At 49.0% G+C, this 19591-nt stretch overlaps 1 protein-coding gene across 7 annotated transcripts in view, besides 1 other annotated feature; it reads right to left on the minus strand.

Moving 5' to 3' along the window:
* Positions 1–18694, minus strand: part of PLA2G10 (phospholipase A2 group X) — a 29303-nt gene extending 10609 nt beyond the window's left edge. For 3 of the 7 annotated variants that reach the window (XM_047434757.1, XM_011522697.3, XM_011522695.4), the window contains exons 1-4: positions 18614–18694; positions 10977–12809; positions 7339–7489; positions 5009–5115 (exon numbers count right to left, since the gene is read on the minus strand). In XM_047434757.1, the coding sequence (XP_047290713.1) occupies positions 5009–5115; positions 7339–7489; positions 10977–11073 (355 nt within the window). In that variant the 5' untranslated portion in view covers positions 11074–12809; positions 18614–18694. Of the gene's footprint in view, positions 1–301; positions 450–509; positions 533–5008; positions 5116–7338; positions 7490–10976; positions 12810–18613 lie in introns of those variants that run through there. The other 4 variants (XM_011522696.4, XM_011522698.3, NR_133651.1 and 1 more) reach the window with 4 other exon arrangements.
* Positions 4361–4861: an enhancer, noted in NCBI's record as "H3K27ac hESC enhancer chr16:14781374-14781874 (GRCh37/hg19 assembly coordinates)". NCBI's record gives its function as "activates a minimal SCP1, AML or CMV promoter by ChIP-STARR-seq in primed H9 embryonic stem cells {active_cell/tissue: H9 hESC(primed)}" and the evidence as "EXISTENCE:reporter gene assay evidence [ECO:0000049][PMID:30033119]".
* Positions 18695–19591: the final 897 nt, after the last annotated feature.

Here is a 19591-nt window from a genome sequence, read left to right on the forward strand (position 1 = left end):
AGAAGTCAAATTATTAGCTCAAAGTGATGAAATCCTCCTCCATCTAGAGCCAAGTGATTTTCTTTTTCTTTCTTTTTTTGTTTTTTTTTTTTTTGAGATGGAGTCTTGCTCTGTTGCCCAGGCTGAAGTGCAGTGGTGCAATCTCTGCTCACTGCAATCTCCACCTCCCAGGTTCAAGCAATTCTCCTGCCTCAGCCTCCTGAGTAGCTGGGACTACAGGAGCATGCTGCCACACCCGCCTAATTTTTTTTTGTATCTTAGTAGAGATGGGGTTTCACCGTGCTGCCCTGGCTGGTCTCGAACTCCTGAGTTCAGGCAATCCATCCGCCTCAGCCTCCCAAAGTGCTAGGATTACAGGTGTGAGCCACCACTCCTGGCGGTGATTTTCAGCAAAGGTAGCAGGATGATTCAATGGGGAAGAGTCTCTTCAACCAAGAGGGCTGAGATAACTGGATAACAACATGCAAAAGAATAAAGTTCAACCCCTTACCTCACTCCGTAGACAAAAATTAACTCAAAATGGATCAATGACCTAAATATTAGAGTTAAATATGATAAACCTATTAGAAGAAAACTTAACGGTAAATATTTATAACTTTGGATTTGGCAGTGGATTCTAAGGACACCAAAAACACGAGCAACAAAAGACAACAGATTAATTGAACTTCATCAAACTTAAACAGTTTTGTGCAAAGACACTATCAAGGAAGTGAAAAGACAACTTACATAATGGGAGAAAATATTTGCAAATCACATATCGGGTAAGAGTCAGTATCCACAGTATATAAAGAACTCTTAACTGGGCATGGTGATTCATGCCTGCAATCCCAGCACTTTCAGAGGCAGACAGGCAGAAGGATTGCTTGAAGCCAAGATTTTGAGACCAGCCTGGGCAACTTATCTCTACAAAAAGTTTAAAAATGGCGGGGCGTGGTGGCTCGCGCCTGTAATCCCAGCACTTTGGGAGGCCAAGGCAGATGGATCATGAGGTCAGGAGTTCGAGACAGCCTGGCCAACATGGTGAAACCCCGTCTCTACTAAAAAATATATAAAAATTAGCCGGGCGTGGTGGTGCATGCCTGAGACAGGAGAATAGCTTGAGTTCAGGAGGCGGAGGCTGAAGTGAGCCGAGATCACGCCATTGCACTCCAGCCTGGACAAAAAGAGTGAGACTCCATCTCAAAAAAAAAAAAAAAAAAAAAAAAGGCTAAAAATTAGCTGGGCACTTGGCCAGGCACAGTGGCTCATGCCTGTAATCCCAGCACTTTGGAGGCCAATGTGGGTGGATTGCTTGAGGTCAGGAATTTGAGACCAGCCTGACCAACAGGGTGAAACCCAGTCTCTACTAAAAATACAAAAATTAGCTGGGCGTGGTGGCGGGCACCTGAAATCCCAGCTACTCAGGAGGCTGAGGCAGGAGAATCGCTAAAACCTGGGAGGCAGAGGTTGTAGTGAGCCACGATCGTGCCACTGCACTCCAGCCTGGGCGACAAAGTGAGACTTTGTCTCAAAAAAATTAGCCCAGCATCGTGCCACACACCTATAGTCTCAGCTACTCAGGAGGCTGAGCCAAGAGGATAGTTTGAGCCCAGGAGTTTGAGGCTGCAGTGAGCCATGATCATGCCACTGTACTCCAAGCTGGGTGACAGAGCAAGACCCTGTCTCAACAAAAGAAGTAAAACAGGATTACCGTATGACCCAGCAATTCCACTCCTAGGTATATACTCCAAAATATTGAAACCAGGTACTCAAATAAGTATTTGTTCATGAATGTTCATAGCAGCACTATTCACATAAGCCAAAAGGTGGAAACAACCCAAATGCCCATCATTGAATGAATGGATAAACGAAATGTGATCTATCCATGCAGTGGATATTATTCAGCCATAAAATGAATGACGTACTGACACATGCTATTAATACAACATGAACAGGATGGGTGTGGTGGCTCACGCCTGTAATCACAGCACTTTGGGAGGCTGAGGCAGGCAGATCACTTGAGGTCAGGAGTTCAAGACCAGCCTGGCCAACATGGTAAAACTCCATCTCTGCTAAAAATACCAAAATTACCCAGGCATGGTGGTGCACGTTTGTAATCCCAGCTACTCAGGAAGCTGAGGCAGGAGAATCGCTTGAACCCGGGAGGCGGAGGTTGCAGTAAGCCGAGATGGCACCACTGCACTCCAGCCTGGGTGACAGGTGAGATTTCGTGTCAAAAAAAAAAAAAAAAGAAAGAAAATGAGCAAATCTCAAAAACATTATACTAAGTGAAGAAGCCAGGAACATAGTGTATGATTCTATTTATATGAAATATCTAGACAGGGTAAATCCAGAGATAGAAAACTGGTAACCTGGTAAGTTTACCAGGTGTTGGTGGTAGGGAGGAATGGGAACGGATTGCTTAAGGGGAAAGGGATTTTTCGAGGCAGAGTGATGAAAAAGTTTAGGTGGTGGTTGGATGACATTGTGAATATACTAAGTATCACTGAATTATACACTTTAACATAGTTAATTTTGTGTTATGTCTATTTTCTTTTTGTTGTTGTTGTTGTTTTTGAGACAGAGTCCCACGCTGTCGCCCAGGCTGGAGTGCAATGGTGCAGTCTCGGCTCACTGCAACCTCCACCTCCTGGATTCAAGCAATTCTCCTGCCTCAGCCTTCTTAGTAGCTGGAATTAAAAGCACCCACCTGTATTTTAGTAGAGACGTGGTTTCACCATGTTGGCCAGGCTGGTCTGGAACTCCTGACCTCGTGATCCGCCCACCTCAGCCTCCCAAAGTGTTGGGATTACTGGTGTGAGCCACCACGCCCAGCCTCTTTTTTTCTTTACTCTTTTTTTTTTTTTTTTTTTTTGAGACAGGCTCTCACTCTGTTGCCCAGGCTGAAGTGCAGTGGTGCAATCTTGGCTCACTACAGCCTCAGCCTCCCTGGGCTTAGGTGATCCTCCTTCCTCAGCCTCCCAAGTAGCTGAGACTGCAGGTGCACACCACCACACCGTGCTAGTTTTCATATTATTTGTAGAGATAGGGTTTCACCATGTTGCCCAGGCTGGTCTTGAATTCCTAGGCTCAAGCCATCTGCCCGTCTTGAGATTACAGGAGTGAGCCACAGCGCCGAGCCTGTTATGTCTATTTTCAAGTAACAGAAAATAGAAAAAAAGGGATGGAACTAGTGGTCTGGATCATGACTAGCTCTTCAGATAACTTTGAGTCTCGCTGCCGAAACTCAAGCCTTATCTGCATTCTCCCTGTACCATTACTCACTTCCTAGTTGTTTTCATTGTTTTAGCTTTCTTATTTATTTGAAGGGAAACTATAAATGGAAAATGCCATACATCAGAATGGAATCTATTTCTTTTTGTTTTTGTTTGAGATAGAGTTTCACTCTGTTGCCCAGGCTGGAGTACGATCTCGGCTCACTGCAACCTGTGCCTCCTGGATTCAAGTGATTCTCCTGCGTCAGACTCTCGAGTAGCTGGGATTACAAGCATGCACCAACATACCAGGGTAATTTTGTATTTTTAGTAGAGACAGGGTTTCACCATTGAGGCTGCTCTCAAACTCCTGGCCTCAAGTGATCCACCTGCCTTGGCCTCCCAAAGTGCTGGAACTATAGGCGTGAGCCACAGCACCCGGCCCAAAATGGAATCTTAAAAATAAATACCACGGCCAGATGCAGTGGCTCACACCTGTAATTCCAGCACTTTGAGAGGCTGAGGCGGGTGGATCACTTGAGGTCAGGAGTACAAGACCAGCCTGACCAACATGGCAAAACCTCATCTCTACTAAAAATACAAAAATATTAGCCAGGTGTAGTGGCAGGCACCTGTAATCTCAGCTACTCAGGAGGCTGAGGCAGGAGAATCACTTGAACCCAAGAGGTGGAGGTTGCAGTAAGCCAAGAACATGCCATTGCACTCCAGCCTGGGCAACAGGAGTAAAACTCTGTCTCAAAAAAAAACAAAAAAAAATCAAAAAACAAACAAACAAAAAAACCCACACTCCAAAAACAAACAAACAAACAATAAATAAATAATATAAAAATAAAATAAATACTACAGTCCTTATGTTATTGCTTTGTTTCAAAATCTTGTAGGATTGCCTGAGGGACCTGAGATTTTTAATTGCAGGGTTTTTTTTATATATCTTTAGAAGTGGTTGGTTAGGTAAAATTTTTTTTTTTTTTTTTTGAGACTGGGTTTTGCCCTGTTACACAGGCTGGAGTGCTGTGACTCGATCACAGCTCACTGCAGCCTCAACCTCCTGGGCTTCAAGCGATCCTCCCACCTCAGCCTCCCAAGTAGCTGGGATCACAGATGTGTGCCACCACGCCTGGCCAATGTTAAAAAAATCCTTTAACTTTTTTGTAGAGATGCACTCCTGGCCTCAAGCGATCCTCCTTCTGGTCCCCACCCCCAGCCTCTTTCTGATAAACATTTACACTGTTTATTATCTGATGCCATTTCTATCTTCTTCCTTGTCGTCCAGACATCAAATAATTAGGTTTCTTCATGGTTTTCTTTTTCAAGTCCTCATTGTTAAAGATCACTCACATTAGGGCCAGACACCATGCCTCACGCCTGTAATCTCAGCACTTTGGGAGGCCGAGGCGGGCAGAGCACTTGAGGTGGGGAGTTTGAGACCAGCCTGGCCAACTTGGTGAAACCCCACCTCTACTGAAAAAATACAAAAATTAGCTGGGCGTGATGGTGCATGCCTGTAGTCCCAGCCACTTGGGAGGCTGAGGCACGAGAATCGCTTGAACCCAGGAGGCAGAGGTTGTAGTGAGCCAAGATCACATCAGCACACTCTAGCCTGGGTGACAGAGCGAGACTCTGACTCAAAAAATAAATAAAATAAATATCACTTACATTAGATATACCCAAGGGGTGGTCTATAGAGACTTGGAAGCAGTGGTTATTGCAACAGGGGCACGGAAGTCATCTGGCTATGCCAGGATGCCCAGGGGATACTCGGGGTGGGTGGCATGGTGCTGCTGGGGACTCACCGCACAGGACGCTCTGATTGACGCACTGCCAGGAGTAGCGCTCTGTCTTGGGGCTGCAGCCGGCCTCCTCAGCTCGAGTGTAACAACAGTCGTGGCCATGGCAGCACCTGCGGATGTCACATGGGCAGGACAGCAGGTGGGTGAAGCTCTCTCCTGGCCCTCCTCTCTTGCCAGGACTATGGGTGACTGAAGACCCCCAGGGAGGCACAGCATCCTCTTATCTAAGATTTTTTTTTTTTTAAGAGACAGGGTCTTTCTCTGTCGCCCAGGCTGGACTGCAGTGGCACAATCATAGCTCACTGCAGCCTTGAACTCCTGGGCTCAAGCGATCCTCCCACTTCAGTGTCCCAAGTAGCTGAGACTACAGGCACACGCCAGCATGCCCGGCTGGTTTTTTAATTTGTATTTCCTTTGAGACAGCGTATCTCTCTGTTGCTCAGGCTGGAGTGCAATGGCTCAATCAGCTCACTTTAGCCTTGAACTCCCAGGCTCAAGTGATACTGCCACCTCAACCTCTCAAGTCTGCTACTACAGGAAGACAAACTCCTTTTTTAAATTTTTTGTGGATATGGGGTCTCACTATGTTGCCTAGGCTGGTCTCGAGCTCCCAGGCTCAAGCAGTCCTCCTACCTCAGCCTCCACAAATGCTGGGATTACAGGTGGGAGCTACTGTACACCTGGCCTTATCTAAGCTGTTTCCCTGAAAATCCCCGTCTTGGGTAATGATTCCATTGGCCCCACCATGCCCTGTCCTGCCTTCCTGGCTGTGCCCAAGCTTGGTCCCTGCCTGCCTGCCTGCCTCCCTCTCTGGGTCTCGAGCTCCTGTGACACATGACTCCTCTCTCTTCCTGGAGTGATCCAAGCCCTGCCACTTCCTGACTTTGCCCACACTGTACCCTCTGCCTGGGGCAACTTCATGTCTGCCCATTGACCCTTAGGCCTCAGCCCAGGCACAAGCCCCTGCCTCTGGAGGTCATCCAGGCCTCACCAGGCTACACCCTCTCATAAAATCGGATTCCCTCCCTTCAGGGTAGGTTTATAATGAAACCCTCCTTAGAGGCCAGGTGCGGTGACACCCATCTGTAATCCCAGCACTTTGGGAGGCTAAGGTGGGAGGATCACTTGAGATCAGGGGGTCGAGACCAGCCTGGGCAACATAAGAAAACTCTTGTCTCTCTTGTCTCTATAACAAATTTAAAAATTAGCTCACCAGGCCAGGCTCAGTGGCTCATGCCTGTAATCCCACTCAGGCTGGAGTGCAATGGCACGATCTTGGCTCACTGCAACCTCCACCTCCTGGGTTCAGGTGATTCTCCTGCCTCAGCCTCCCGAGTAGCTGGGATTACAGGCATGCGCCACCATGCCTGGCTAATTTTGTAGTTTTAGTAGAGACAGGGTTTCGCCGTGTTGGCCAGGCTGGTCTGGAACTCCTGACCTCGTGATCCACCTGCCTTGGCCTCCCAAAATACTGGGATTACAGGCGTGAGCCACCGCACCTGGACACGTTACTGAATATTTCTGTGCCTTGGTTTCTTCATCTGTGAAATGGGATTGTTGTGAGAACGCAAAGGGATTCCCAGGGCAGTTCCTAGTGCATAGTCTGGCTTCCTTTGTGTGTGTGTGTGTGTGTGTGTGTGTGTGTGTGTGTGTGTGTGTGTGTGTGTGTTTAATATAGAGACAGGGTCTCACTATGTTGCCTAGGCTGGTTTCAAACTCCTGGTCTCCAGTGATATTACTGCTTCGACCCAAAGTGGTGGGATTACAGGTGTGAATCACCACACCTGGTCACTTTATATTTTTATTATTTTTTTCTTTTGAGACAGGGTCTCGCACTGTCACCCAGGTTGGAATGCAGTGGTGCAATCTCAACTCACTGCAAACTCCACCTCCTGGGTTGAAGCAATTCTCCTGCCTCGGTCTCCTGAGTAGCTGGGATTACAGACGCCTGCCACCACACACAGCTAATTTTTGCATTTTTAGTACAGATGGGGTTTCACCATATTGGCCAGGCTGGTCTTGAACTCCTGACCTCAAGTGATCTGCCCACCTCGGCCTTCCAAAGTGCTGGGATTACAGGAGTGAGCCACAGCTCCTAGCCAAGTTTTTAAGGCAACGTCATCAGCTCAAGGCCAGGGTAAGGGGCAGCTGGTACCAAGATCTGGCTTCACTGGCCATGTTATCCAAGAGGCCTCTGCCTGCCTGCAAAGTAGTACTGCACACTGGGATCTCCCTGGACCAAACCCCAGCTTCAGTTTTGGGTACTTCCTCATAAGCCTTGACTACCCCAGAGTGTGAGGGATTTTGTGGCCTGGTCCCAGGCATGCACTCACCAGTCAATGGCATCGCGGGGCTGGCCATGGCCTCCCAAGCCACAAAAGCAACCATATTTCATATAGGCGATGGGGGTTCGGGGACCAACACAACCCACAGTTCCTGCCAGTTCCAGGATCCCACGCCGGTGCACACGTAATATCCTGGAGGCTGGGGGGTAAACAAAGGTGACAGGCTGCAGGTCAGGGCTTCCCAGACCCCTGGGAAGGGCATGAGCCTGAGAAGAGCCCAGGTGTTACAGCCTGGCTGTCTGGGTTTGAATCCTACTTCCTGGCTGTGTGACCTTGGACAAATTCTTAACCTCTCTGGGCCTTGGTTTCCTCATCTGTGAAATGGGGGATAAACTGACTTCAACTCATATGAATGAAATGAGATAATGAGTATAAAGCCCCTGGTGCATGAAAAGGCTATTATAATCCGGCTGGGCTCAGTGGCTCACACCTGTAATCCCAACATTTTGGGAGGCCCAGGCGGGCAGATCACCTGAGGTCAGCAGTTCAAGATCAGCCTGGCCAACATGGTGAAACCCCATCTGTAGTAAAAATACAAAAATTAGCCGAGCATAGTGGTTCATGCCTGTAATCCCAGCTACTAGGGAGGCTGAGGAAGGAGAGTCACTTGAACCTGAGAGATGAAGGTTGCAGTGAGCCAAGATTTTGCCACTGCATTCCAACCTGGGTGACAGAGCAAGAGTCTCAAAAAAAGAAAAAAAAAAGGCTAACTATTATAATCAAGGTCCTCAAGGTAGCCAAGAAGGGAAAAAAGAGTCGTGCATGAAACGTTTGTCCAGTTCCCTGTGTTGGGAACTGGGCATCACGGACGCGCCTACAGGTGTCTGTCACCAAGGTGGGCTCCTCTGTGGCAGCTCCCGGGCCCTGGCACTGCCCTGTGCTCATGACTTCCCCTCCAGACTCAGACTCAGGGCCCTTGGTATCTCCTCTTATTTTCACTGCCAGACAGGAAGGCCCCTTGGCCTGAGCCCAGCCATTTTTCTAGATCCTGGCACAGCTTGGACATGTAATGGTGCCCAATGCATGTGACTGGAACCCCTGCATTGGACATGTAGGAAACGAGGCCAGCCGGGAAAGGTAACCCCACATTCCCACAGCCAGCAGGAACCCGAGCAGAGGCTTCAACCCAGGCTTCTGACTTGCAAACCAGTGCTCCTTCCTCCTTACACAGTGACAACAGGGGAAGGTGGCCTTCGGGGTTGCCAGAGCCGAGTAGTACCAGCAATAGAGTGGAAACTCACACACAGGCTTGCCTGCTTCCTGGGTTAGGGTTAGGGTTTATACAGCTCTGGGAGGTTGACGCATTGTGTTTGATCATCTTTTTTTTTTTTTTTTGAGACACAGTCTCATTCTTGTTGCCCAGGCTGGAGCACAGTGGTTTAATCTTGCTCACAGCAACCTCTGCCTCCCAGGTTCAAGCAATTCTCCTGCCTTAGCCTCCCGAGTAGCTGGGATCACAGGCGTGCGACACCACACCCAGCTAATTTTTGTATTTTTAGTAGAAAGGGGTTTCACCATCTTGGCCAGGCTGGTCTCGAACTCCTGACCTCATATGATCCACCTGGTTTGGCCTCCCAAAGTGCTGGGATTATAGGCATGAGCCACTGCGCTCATCCTGATCATCTTGTCTCTCTTTTTTTTTTTTTTAGAGACAGTGTCTCACTTTGTCACCCACACTGGAGTGCAGTGGCACAATCAGTTCACTGCAGCCTCCAAATCCTGGGCTCAAGCAATCCTCCTGCCTCAGTCTCCAGACATACGGGCATGCACCACCATGCCCAGCTAATTTTTAAATTTTTAGTAGATATGGGGTCTCACTATGTTGCCCAGGCTGTTCACAAACTCCTGGCCTCAAGTGATTCTCCTGCCTTGGCCTCCGAAGGCGCTGGGATTCCAGGCATGAGCCACCATGCCCAGTCTCATTTCTGTTTTATCTAGAACAGTTTTCATCACACTGACTTTTTTGAGAAGTCCAGGCCAGATTGAAATTCCATTTTGTCTTTTTATCAGTGGAAAAAGTAGCATATTTATGTTGGAGGACAAAGATGAATCAAAGAGGAAGAAAATGTAAAACGCATTTGGGGCCGGGCGCGGTGGCTCACGCCTGTAATCCCAGCACTTTGGGAGTCCGAGGCGGGCAGATCACCTGAAGTGAGCAGTTCCAGACCAGCCTGACCAACATGGAGAAAGCTGTTTCTACGAAAAATACATAATTAGCTGGGCATGGTGGTGCACGCCTGTAATCCCAGCTACTTGGGAGGCTGAGGCAGGAGAATCGCTTGAACCCGGGAGGTGGAGGTTGCAGTGAGCCGAGCTCGTACCACTGCACTCCAGCCTGGGCAACAGTGAGACTCTGTCTCAAAAAAAAAAAAAAAAAAGAGCTGAGCTCTGATATAAGCTGCCCTGGCACACAGTGAGCTTCCAGAAATGGTCCCTTGACCTCTAAATGCACCAAGACCCAGGGAACACGCCCTGTCTGAGCACCCTGACAATGTCCCAGTCCCAACACCGTACCCTGAAGCTGTCCCCAAAGGTTCCCCTGCCACCGTCCCTGACCACTCTCTGGTATCTCAGAGCCCTAGCAACAGCCTTATAGAGGGAGGGTTCTAGGCGTGGGGCAGGCATGAGCACTGTGCTTATAACCAAGCAAAACACTCCCTCTGTGCCAACATAGGTGTGGCAGGTCACGCTGGGGTCTGTTTGCCCTGTCTGCCCGCTGCAGCCTCCTCGGGGGAGGGCCAGGGCTGTCTGTCCATCCTGTGACCCCAGGGTCTATGCGCACATATGTGTGTCTGTGCTGCTCTGTGTGTGTGTGTGTGTGTGTGTGTGTGTGTGTGTGTGTGTACACGGTGCATCTGAATTGTCCTGAGTGCTGTCTCGGGTATCCTTGAGCTGTGTGTGCGTGTGTCCCCCTAGCGGTATGTCAGTATTTTTCCCTGTGGGAGCCGCACACCTGAGGGCCAGGTGAGTCTGGGGCTGGTCCTGTGCCTGCGCATCTGTGTGCTGGCGGTGTCTGCATAGTACTCTGCGGGTACATGTATCTGTGCACCCCAGAAATGGGCAGTCACCCACGGGACCTCTCTACAGTGACCCCAAAGGATGGATAGTGAGATAGGGACAGTATGTTCTATTTTTTGTTTTTTTGTTTGTTTGTTTTGTTTTGTTTTGTTTTGTTTTTGGTCACCGGGGTTTGTTGTACAGGGGCACAATATATTCTTCTCCCACCCCCAAGCCGGCCCTTTCTGCCCCTGCTCCTCCCACCCTCTGGTGTCTCACATCTCAGGGACAGGTGGAATGAAGGGTAAGTTCGCGGACCCCAGATCAGGACAACCGGGAGGCTTCCGGGCTGCCGGAGAGGGTCACAGCCGGTTAGGGGAGGGAGCCAGGAGAGGACTCTGCGCCCCTGGGGAAGGACTGGGCTAGTTCTGGGTCCCTGGGAGGAGTGAGTGGGGGGCCCTGCAGAAGGCTGGGGCGCATCGTGTGGGTGAGCATTAGAAGAGCGAGCTGGGGGCTCTAGGGCAACTAGGAACTTGGAGAGGGATGGGAGGCAGGGCTGCTGGGTCCCTAGGAAGGGCTGGAGGAATACCGGAACGCCTGAGTTCCGGGAAAGCCCCTTCCTCACTCACCCTCGCCGGACCCGGGGCCAGGTAGAAGCAGCAGCAGCAGCAGCGACGGCAGTAGCAGGAGCAGCATGATTGGCAGGCACACAGGTAGCGGCCCCATCGGAGGGTGGCAGAGGTGGGACGGTGCTGCAGGGCCACCGGAGGCACCAAGCCCGGCGGACACACACCCCGGCTGTCACGCCCCGGCTCCGCCCCCGACCTCACCTTCCCTCGCGGCCCAAGCAGAGCCAGCTAGGGGCGGGCACCTGGGGCGGCGCAAAGGCGTCCTGATCTCTGTATCTTGGTCACTGAAGGGGCTCCAGAGGCCGCGGGGCGCTGGGGACAGGACCGGGAGTCAGGCCCAGGGAAGTCTCCTCGGAATAAGGGAGGAAAAGGCGCTCTTTTGATGTTATTACTCCCCCAGCCCCTCCCCCGCTCACCTGGGCGCCCAAAGGGAACAGAAGACTTGGAGGAGGGGTAGTCCTGAATTTGCTTTAACATTTTATTTTATTTGGCCGGGCGCGGTGACTCACGCCTGTAATCCCAGCACTTTGGAAGGCCGAGGCTGGCGGATCACCTGAGGTCAGGAGTTCAAAACCAGCCTGGCCAACATGGTGAGGCTGTCTCTACTAAAAACACAAAAATTAGCCGGGCGTGGTGGTGTGGACCTATAATCCCAGCTACTTGGGAGGCTGAGGCACAGGAATCGCTTGAACACGGAAGGCAGAGGTTGCAGTGAGCCAAGATCACACCACTGCACTCCAGCCTGGGTGAGAGCCAGACTCTGTCTCTTTCTCGCTCTCTCTGTCTCTCTCTCTGTCAGTCTGGAGAGAGTTGATTGTCCCTGGTCAGTCTCTCTAGTCGAGAGAGAGAGAGACACTGAGGCTGGGCACAGGGCTCACGCCTGTAATCCCAGCACTTTGGGACACCGAGGCGGGTGGATCACCTGAGGTCAGGAGTTGGAGACCAACCTGGCCAACATGATGAAACCCCGTCTCTACTAAAAATACAAAAAATTCCCCGGGTATGGTGTTGAGCGCCTATAATCCCAACTACTCAGGAGCCCGAGGCAGGAGAATCGCTTGAACCCGGGAGGCAGACGTTGCAGTGAGCGAAGATCGCACCACTGCACTCCAGCCTGGGCAACAAGAGCAAAACTCCATCACACACAAACATACACACACACACACACACAAAATTAACCAGGCATGGTGGCACGTGCCTGTAGTCTCAGCGGCTCGGGAGGCTGATGTACAAGAATCGCTTGAATCTGGGAGGCGAAGGTTGCAGTGAACCAAGATTGCACCACTGCACTCCAGCCTGGGTGCCAGAGTAAGACACTATCACAAGGCCGGGCACGGTGACTGATGCCTGTAATCCCAGCGCTTTGGGAGGCCGAGGTAGGCGGATCACCTGAGGTCAGGAGTTCGAGACCAGCCTGGCCAACATGGTGAAACCCTGTCTCCACTAAAAATACAAAAAAATTAGCCGGGCATGGTGGTGGGCGCCTGTAATCCCAGCTACTCTGGAGGCTGAGTCAGGAGAATTACTTGAACCCAGGAGGCGGAGGTTGCAGTGAGCCAAGATCGCGCTATTCCACTCCAACCTGAGCAACAAGACCGAGACTATGTCTCAAAAAAAAAAAAAAAAATGACTCTGTCTCAAAAAAAAAAACTAGAAGTCTTGATCTGTGATCTTGGGAAAAGCTGTTCACATCAAGGATGCCATCTTTTTCTGGCGAAAAACTTCCCTCTTGTGAGATTATGAACCCAAAGTTCAAGGTCCTGAAGTTTTGCTGTATTGTGGATGGCAAGGACATTCTTTCTCTGATGTTCTCAGAAGATCCAATCTTTGGTTCTAGATTGTGAAGGAATTGATTGTCCCCAGTCAGTGAGCCATAAAAAGCTTTCAGTACCTGGTGAAAATACACTGTACCATAATGATCTACTGTTGTAATATCAGCCCTCTTGCATGGGAAAGCAACCAGAAAACATGCATTGAAAATGATAATTGACAACTGAAATGTTCAAATGGCCCATGAGGTAGCCAAATGCACCTGAAGCTTTGATTGTCTTCCCAGGAACATGAATTTGACAAACGAAACATTGGTTATGAACTATTTTAGCAATTTATAATTCAGCACACCAATACATATTTAATTTAGATCATTTTATCTTTTCCATGATGAGTCATGGAATGCAGAGTCTTTTATTTTTCATTTTTAGACAGAGTTTCATTCTTGTTGCCCAGGTTGGAGTGCAATGGCGCTATCTCGGCTCACCGCAACCTCCGCCTCCTGGGTTCAAGCGACTCTTCTGCCTCAGCCTCCTGAGTAGCTGGGATTACAGGCATGAGCCACCACGCCCGGATAATTTTTTGTATTTTTAGTAGAGATGGGGTTTCTCCATGTTGGTGAGGCTGATATTGAACTCCCGACCTCAGGTGATTTGCCCACCTCGGCCTCCCAAAGTGCTGGGATTACAGGTGTGAGCTACCACGCCCAACTGCAGAACCTTTAATAACAAACACTTTAAGGAGTCAGGAAGGACAAGGTGACCATCTTGATTCTCCATGAGTCCATGGTTAACATCGGACTTGCGTGCTCTGAATATCAGTTGTTTCTCCAGTTTACGTGCATAGCACTGATACCTAATGGGTTATCATAGGTAATTTGACTTAGACCTTGGAGTTCATTCAAATTGTATACCTAGGCTGGGCGAGCCCACAAAAAATTAGCTGGGCATGGTGGCAGAAGCCTGTAATCCCAGCTACTTGGGAGGAGATGGGAGAATCCCTTGAACCCAGGAGAAGGAGGTTTCAGTGAGGGGAGATTGCTCCACTGCACTCCAGCCTGGGCGACAGAGTGAGACCCTGTTTCAAAAACAACAAAAAAGGGGTGGTGGCTCATGCCTGTAATCCCAGCACTTTGGGATGCCAAGGCGGGTGGATCACCTGAGGTTGGGAGTTCAAGACCAGCCTGACCAACATGGTGAAACCCCGTCTCTACTAAAAATTCAAAAAAATTAGCCAGGCATAGTGGTGGGCACCTGTAATCCCAGCTACTCAGAAGGCTGAGGTACGAGAATCACTTGAACCTGGGAGGCAGAGGTTGCAGTGAGCCAAAATCACGCCATTGCACTCCAGCCTGGGTGACAGATTGAGACTCCGTCTCAAAAAAGCAAAAAGCAAAAAACAAAAACAAACAACAACAACAAAAACCAAACTGTTTATCTAAACAATTTTGGTATCGGCTGTTTTAACATGAAAATTTAGCAAAGTGTTTTTTTGGTATTCAATTAATTTTTTGTTCTGCTTGGGTTAGCAGCTTTCTTTCTTTCTCTCTCTCTTTCTTCCCTTCCTTCCTCCCTTCCTCCCTTCCTTCTTTCTTTCTTTCTTTCTTTCTGTCACCCAGGCTGAAGTGCAATGGCACGATCATGGCTCACTGCAATCTCCGCCTCCCGAGTTCAACCGGTTCTCCTGCCTCAGGCTCCCAAGTAGCTGGGATTAGAGATGCCCACCACCATTCCCAGCTAATTTTGTATTTTTTTAGTAGAGACAGGATTATACCATGTTGGTCAATTACAATTCCCCTGTCTTCATGAATCGGCTCTGTCTAGGCAGTGGGCAAGGTGAACCCCTTGAGCAGTTACAGTAGTGCCAACATGTCAAGTTTCTAGGCTCTCTCTCCCTGATCGGCCCTGGTGACCCTGTTGGACTGTATGCCAACAAACACATTGTCATGAATTAAGAATATTCACAAATAGTTTACAAATTTTGGAGAAATTAGGCAGAGACAGAAATATGACTCAAATTCTATTTATGAAAGTATACTCGCTGGACGGTGTGGCTCAAGCCTGTACTCCCAGCACTTTGGGAGGCCGAGGCAGATGGATCACCTGAGGTCAGGAGTTTGAGACCAGCTTGGCCAACATGATGAAACCCCATCTCCACTAAAAATACAAAAAGTTAGCCAGGTGTGGTAGTGGGTGCCTGTAGTCACAGCTATTCCAGAGGCTGAGGCAGGAGAATCACTTGAACCTCTGAGGTGGAGGTTGCAGTGAGCTGATATCGTACCATTGCACTCCAGCCTGGGCGACAGTGTGAGACTCTGTCTCAAAAAATAAATATAAAAAATAAAAAGCTGCTATGCTCCATTAATTCCTGCAGGCCCAACGAAGGCAGCCTAGGAATTCTAGATCAATGGAATGAATACAACTTGCTAGAAATACATAGGAAACAAAATGACTATTCACAGAACCAAATAAAAGCCTTCCACTAGAAACTAAAAATAATAATAATAATAATGGTTATATATATATGCATACACAAGCAAAGCCAGAAGAGAATAAATAGCAAATGAATGAAAATTAGAAGCAAAAACAAGTAACTAGGAAACCATCTCTACATTTTTTTTACTCAATCTACCCTGAATGCTACAGCATTATCCAGGACCCCAGAAAACACACATAATACTTTATTCCTGATAAACAATTCAATGTCCTTAAGTCCACCAATATCACCATACATTCTGTGCAATCAAGAAATTTACTCAGCTGGGTGCAGTGGCTCACACCTGTAATTCCAGCACTTCGGGAGGCCAAGGCGGGTGGATCACCTGAGGTCAGGAGTTTGAAAACAGCCTGGCCAACATGACAAAACCCCATCTGTACTAAAAATACAAAAATTAGCCCAGTGCGGAGGCACACGCCCATAATCCCAGCTACTCGGGTGGCTGAGGCAAGAGAATTGCTTGAGCCTGAGAGGCAGAGGTTGCAGTGAGCCCAGACTGCACAAGTACACTCCAGCCTCGGTGACAGAGGGAGACTCCATCTCAAAGAAAAAAAAAAGATTGTAGACCTAAAGTTAACATTGGCATGTACTTGATTATAGGAGGCCAGCAAATAATTTATTTATGAATGATCTACGGGGCGCAGCCCTTCCCAGATGCCTGAGGCCTTTTCTTGCTGAATGGACATCTATCTGGCTGTTACATGATCTTAGGAACAGCTATTCATTTGGAAAAGGGTGTCACAATGACTTTCTCTTTTGCATAAGAAGATGGGGGGCTGGGATCCTGAGATTTTAAAATTTCCTTTACAGCATACCCATATGTGCTCAAAAGTGAAAAGAGATGACAATTGGCCAGGCGTGATGGCTCACACCTGTAATCCCAGCACTTTGGGAGGACGAAGTGGACAGATCAGAAGGTCAAGAGATCAAAACAATCCTAATCAAAATGGTGAAACCCTGTCTCTACTAAAAATAAAAAAATTAGCTGGGCATGGTGGCATGTGCCTGTAGTCTCAGCTATTCGGGAGGCTGAGGCAGGAGAATTGCTTGAACCCGGGAGGCGGAGGTTGCAGTGAGCCGAGTTCGCACCACTGTATTCCAGCCTGGCAACAGAGGGAGACTCCATCTCAAAAAAAAAAGAAAAGAAACGAGATGACAATTGTAGTGCAAAATATCTGTTCCCTTTTGGTCCCCAGTGCCACTGCTACCCCATTCATCACCAATTTTTGTTGATGTCTCTTCCTGACTACTTTTTTTTTTTTTTTTTTTGGAGATAGAGTCTCACTCTGATGTCCAGCCTGGAGTGCAGTGGTGTGATCTCAGCTCATTGCAACCTCTGCCTCCAGGTTCCAGTGATTCTCCTGCCTCAGCCTCCCAAGTAGCTAGGACTATAGGCATGTGCTACCACGCCCAGCTAGTTTTTGTATTTTTAGTAGAGATAGGATTTTAACATGTTGGCCAGGCTCGTCTTGAACTCCTGACCTCAGGTGATCCACCTGCCTTGGCCTCCCAAAGTGCTGAGATTACAGGTGTGAGCCACCATGCCTGGCCTTTTTTTTTTTTTTTTTTTTTTTTTGAGATGGGGTTGAGCCTGTTGCCCAGGCTAAGCTTGAATTTATTTTTATTTTTATTTTATTTATTTATTCATTTATTTTATTTATTATTATTTTTTTATTTTTTGAGATGGAGTTTTGCTCTTGTCGCCCAGGCTGCAGTGCAGTGGCACGATCTTGGCTCACTGCAACCTCTGCCTCCCAGGTTGGGAGTAGCTGGGACTACAGCTGCCCGCCACTATGCCCAGCTACTTTTTGTATGTTTAGTAGAGCTGCGATTTCACCACGTTGGCCAGGCTGGTCTCAAACTCCTGACCTTAGGTGATCTGCCCACCTCGGCCTCCCAAAGTGCTAGGATTACAGTTGTGTGCCACTACACCCGGCCTGGGCTTGAATTTCTGACCTCAAGCAATCCTCCCTCCTCAGGCTCCTGAGTTGCTGATATTACAGGTGCATATCACCTTGCCCAGCACTAGAAACATGATTTTGTCACAACCCCAGACCCCTCTCATTCCCTTTCATAGGAAGGCACTGGGCACCAGAGAAGCTTGAGCCAAGAACCAGGGGAACCAAGATTTAAACTCATTTCTGTTGGGTGCCAAACCTCTCTCTGCCTCCTTCTATTGGAGACGGCTGGGCACGGTGGCTCACACCTGAGATCCCAGCACTTTAGGAGGCCTAGGTAGGTGGATCACCTGAGGTCAGGAATTTGAGACCAGCCTGGCCAGTATGGTGAAACCCTGTCTCTAGTAAAAATGCAAAAAATTAGCTGGGTGTGGTGGTGGGTGCCTGTAATCCCAGCTACACAGGAGGCTGAGGCAGGAGAATCGCTTGAACCCAGGAGGCAGAGGTTTCAGTGAGCCGAGATCATGCCATTGCACTCCAGCCTGGGAAACAAGAGTGAAACTCCATCTCAAAAAAATTAAAAAAAAAAAAAAGAAAAGAAAATCCGAGGCTTTGGTCCCTTTGCCTGCGACACTCTGGAGTAATTCTGTCCCTGCCTGAACGTGATCTCCTCAAGGCAAAGTCTGCGTCTCCTTCCTCTTGTGTGCTCAGCCCTGGCCTATCTGTCCCACACTAGGTGCTCAGTGAAGGTGTGCTCATGTGGAGTATGGGTTTCAGGCATACCAAGACTTGGAGTTGCAGAGGCTGTGAGTGACAAGCCTTGGAGTGCTATGCCCACTGGGAAATGGGTCTATCTCGGGGTTGGGCCAATAAGCTGGGCTCCCTCCGACGCCAGTGCTCATAGCTCCCCTACCCTGGGTGGACCCCTGCAGATGGTCAAGTATGTTGGCTCCATATGTGCCTTGAGTAGCTGGGTGCAGTAGCAGGGCATGGTGGCTCAGGCCTGTAATCTCAGCACTTTGGGAGGCTGAGGCAGGTGCATCCCTTGAGGTCAGGAGTTTGAGACCAGCCTGGCCAACATGGCAAAACCCCGTCTCTACTAAAAACAGAAAAATTAGCTGGGCATGATGGTGCACGCCTGTAATCCCAGCTACCCTGGAAGCTGAGGCAGGAGAATCACTTGAACCCGGGAGTCAAATGTTGCGGTGAACCCAAGATTGCGCCACTGCACACCAGTGTGGGGCATAGGGGGAGACTCTGTCTCAAAAATAAATAAATAAATAAATAAATAAAACAGATGGAGAGGCTGGGTGTGTGTGGTGGCTCATACCTGTAATCTCTGCACTTTGGGAGGCTTAGGTGGGAGGATCAGTGGGGCCCAGGAGTTTGAGACCAGCCTGGGCAACATCTCTACCATCTCTACCAAACACACACACACAAATTAAAAAACTAGTTGGGTGTGGCGATGCATACCTACTTGGGAGGCTGAGACGGGAGGATTTCTTGAGCCCAGGAATTTGAGGCTGCAGTCAACAGTGACCACGCCACTGCACTCCAGCCTGGAAGGTAAAGTCAGACACTTTCTCAAACAATAAAAATAAATAAATAAATAAATAAATAAATAAATAAAGCCGGAGGATAATGGTGAGACATGGAGAGAAGGCATGCTAGGCAGAGAGACCTCCGTAGGCAAAGTCGAAGAGACATGAAAGAGCCAGTGTGCAAGAGTAAATTCCTAGAACTCTGGGAGATGGGAGCAGAGGGAGCTGGTACAGGTCTCCACCTGGTGTACAATCTTGGCATAAATCTCCTACCATGAAAATAAATGACATTTTCTTCTTCCGGCTTTTGTAAGTTGGAAGAAAGCAGTTTTTCTGAGGAGTCTCACTCTGTCTCCCAGGCTGAAGTGCAGTAGCGCAGTCTCGGCTCACTGCAACCTCCTTCCCCCTGGTTCAAGCGATTCTCTTGCCTCAGCCTCGCGAGTAGCTGGGACTGCAGGCATGTGCCACCATGCCCGGCTAATTTTTGTTTTTGTTTTTTCGGAGATGGAGTCTCGCTCTGTCACCCAGGCTGGAGCGCAGTGGTGTGATCTCAGCTCACTGCAAGCTCCACCTCCCGGGTTCACGCCATTCTCCTGCCTCAGCCTCCCAAGTAGCTGGGACTACAGGCACCTGCCACCGCGCCTGGCTAATTTTTTGTATTTTTAGTACAGACGGGGTTTCACTGTGTTAGCCAGGATGATCTCCATCTCCTGACCTCGTGATCTGCCCGCCTCAGCCTCCCAAAGTGCTGGGATTACAGGCGTGAGCCACAGTACCCAGCCGCAGCATGCACCTTTTTAAGGACAGTTCCTTTCTGGATCCTTCCTAAGGTTCTGATTTCTAATCCTTCCTAACCCAGTTCACTGCCCCCCCCGCCCCAACACCACCCTCGGTCCACCCATTCTGACTC

Source organism: Homo sapiens, chromosome 16 (genome assembly GCF_000001405.40).
Source record: "Homo sapiens chromosome 16, GRCh38.p14 Primary Assembly".
Taxonomy (NCBI): domain Eukaryota; kingdom Metazoa; phylum Chordata; class Mammalia; order Primates; family Hominidae; genus Homo; species Homo sapiens.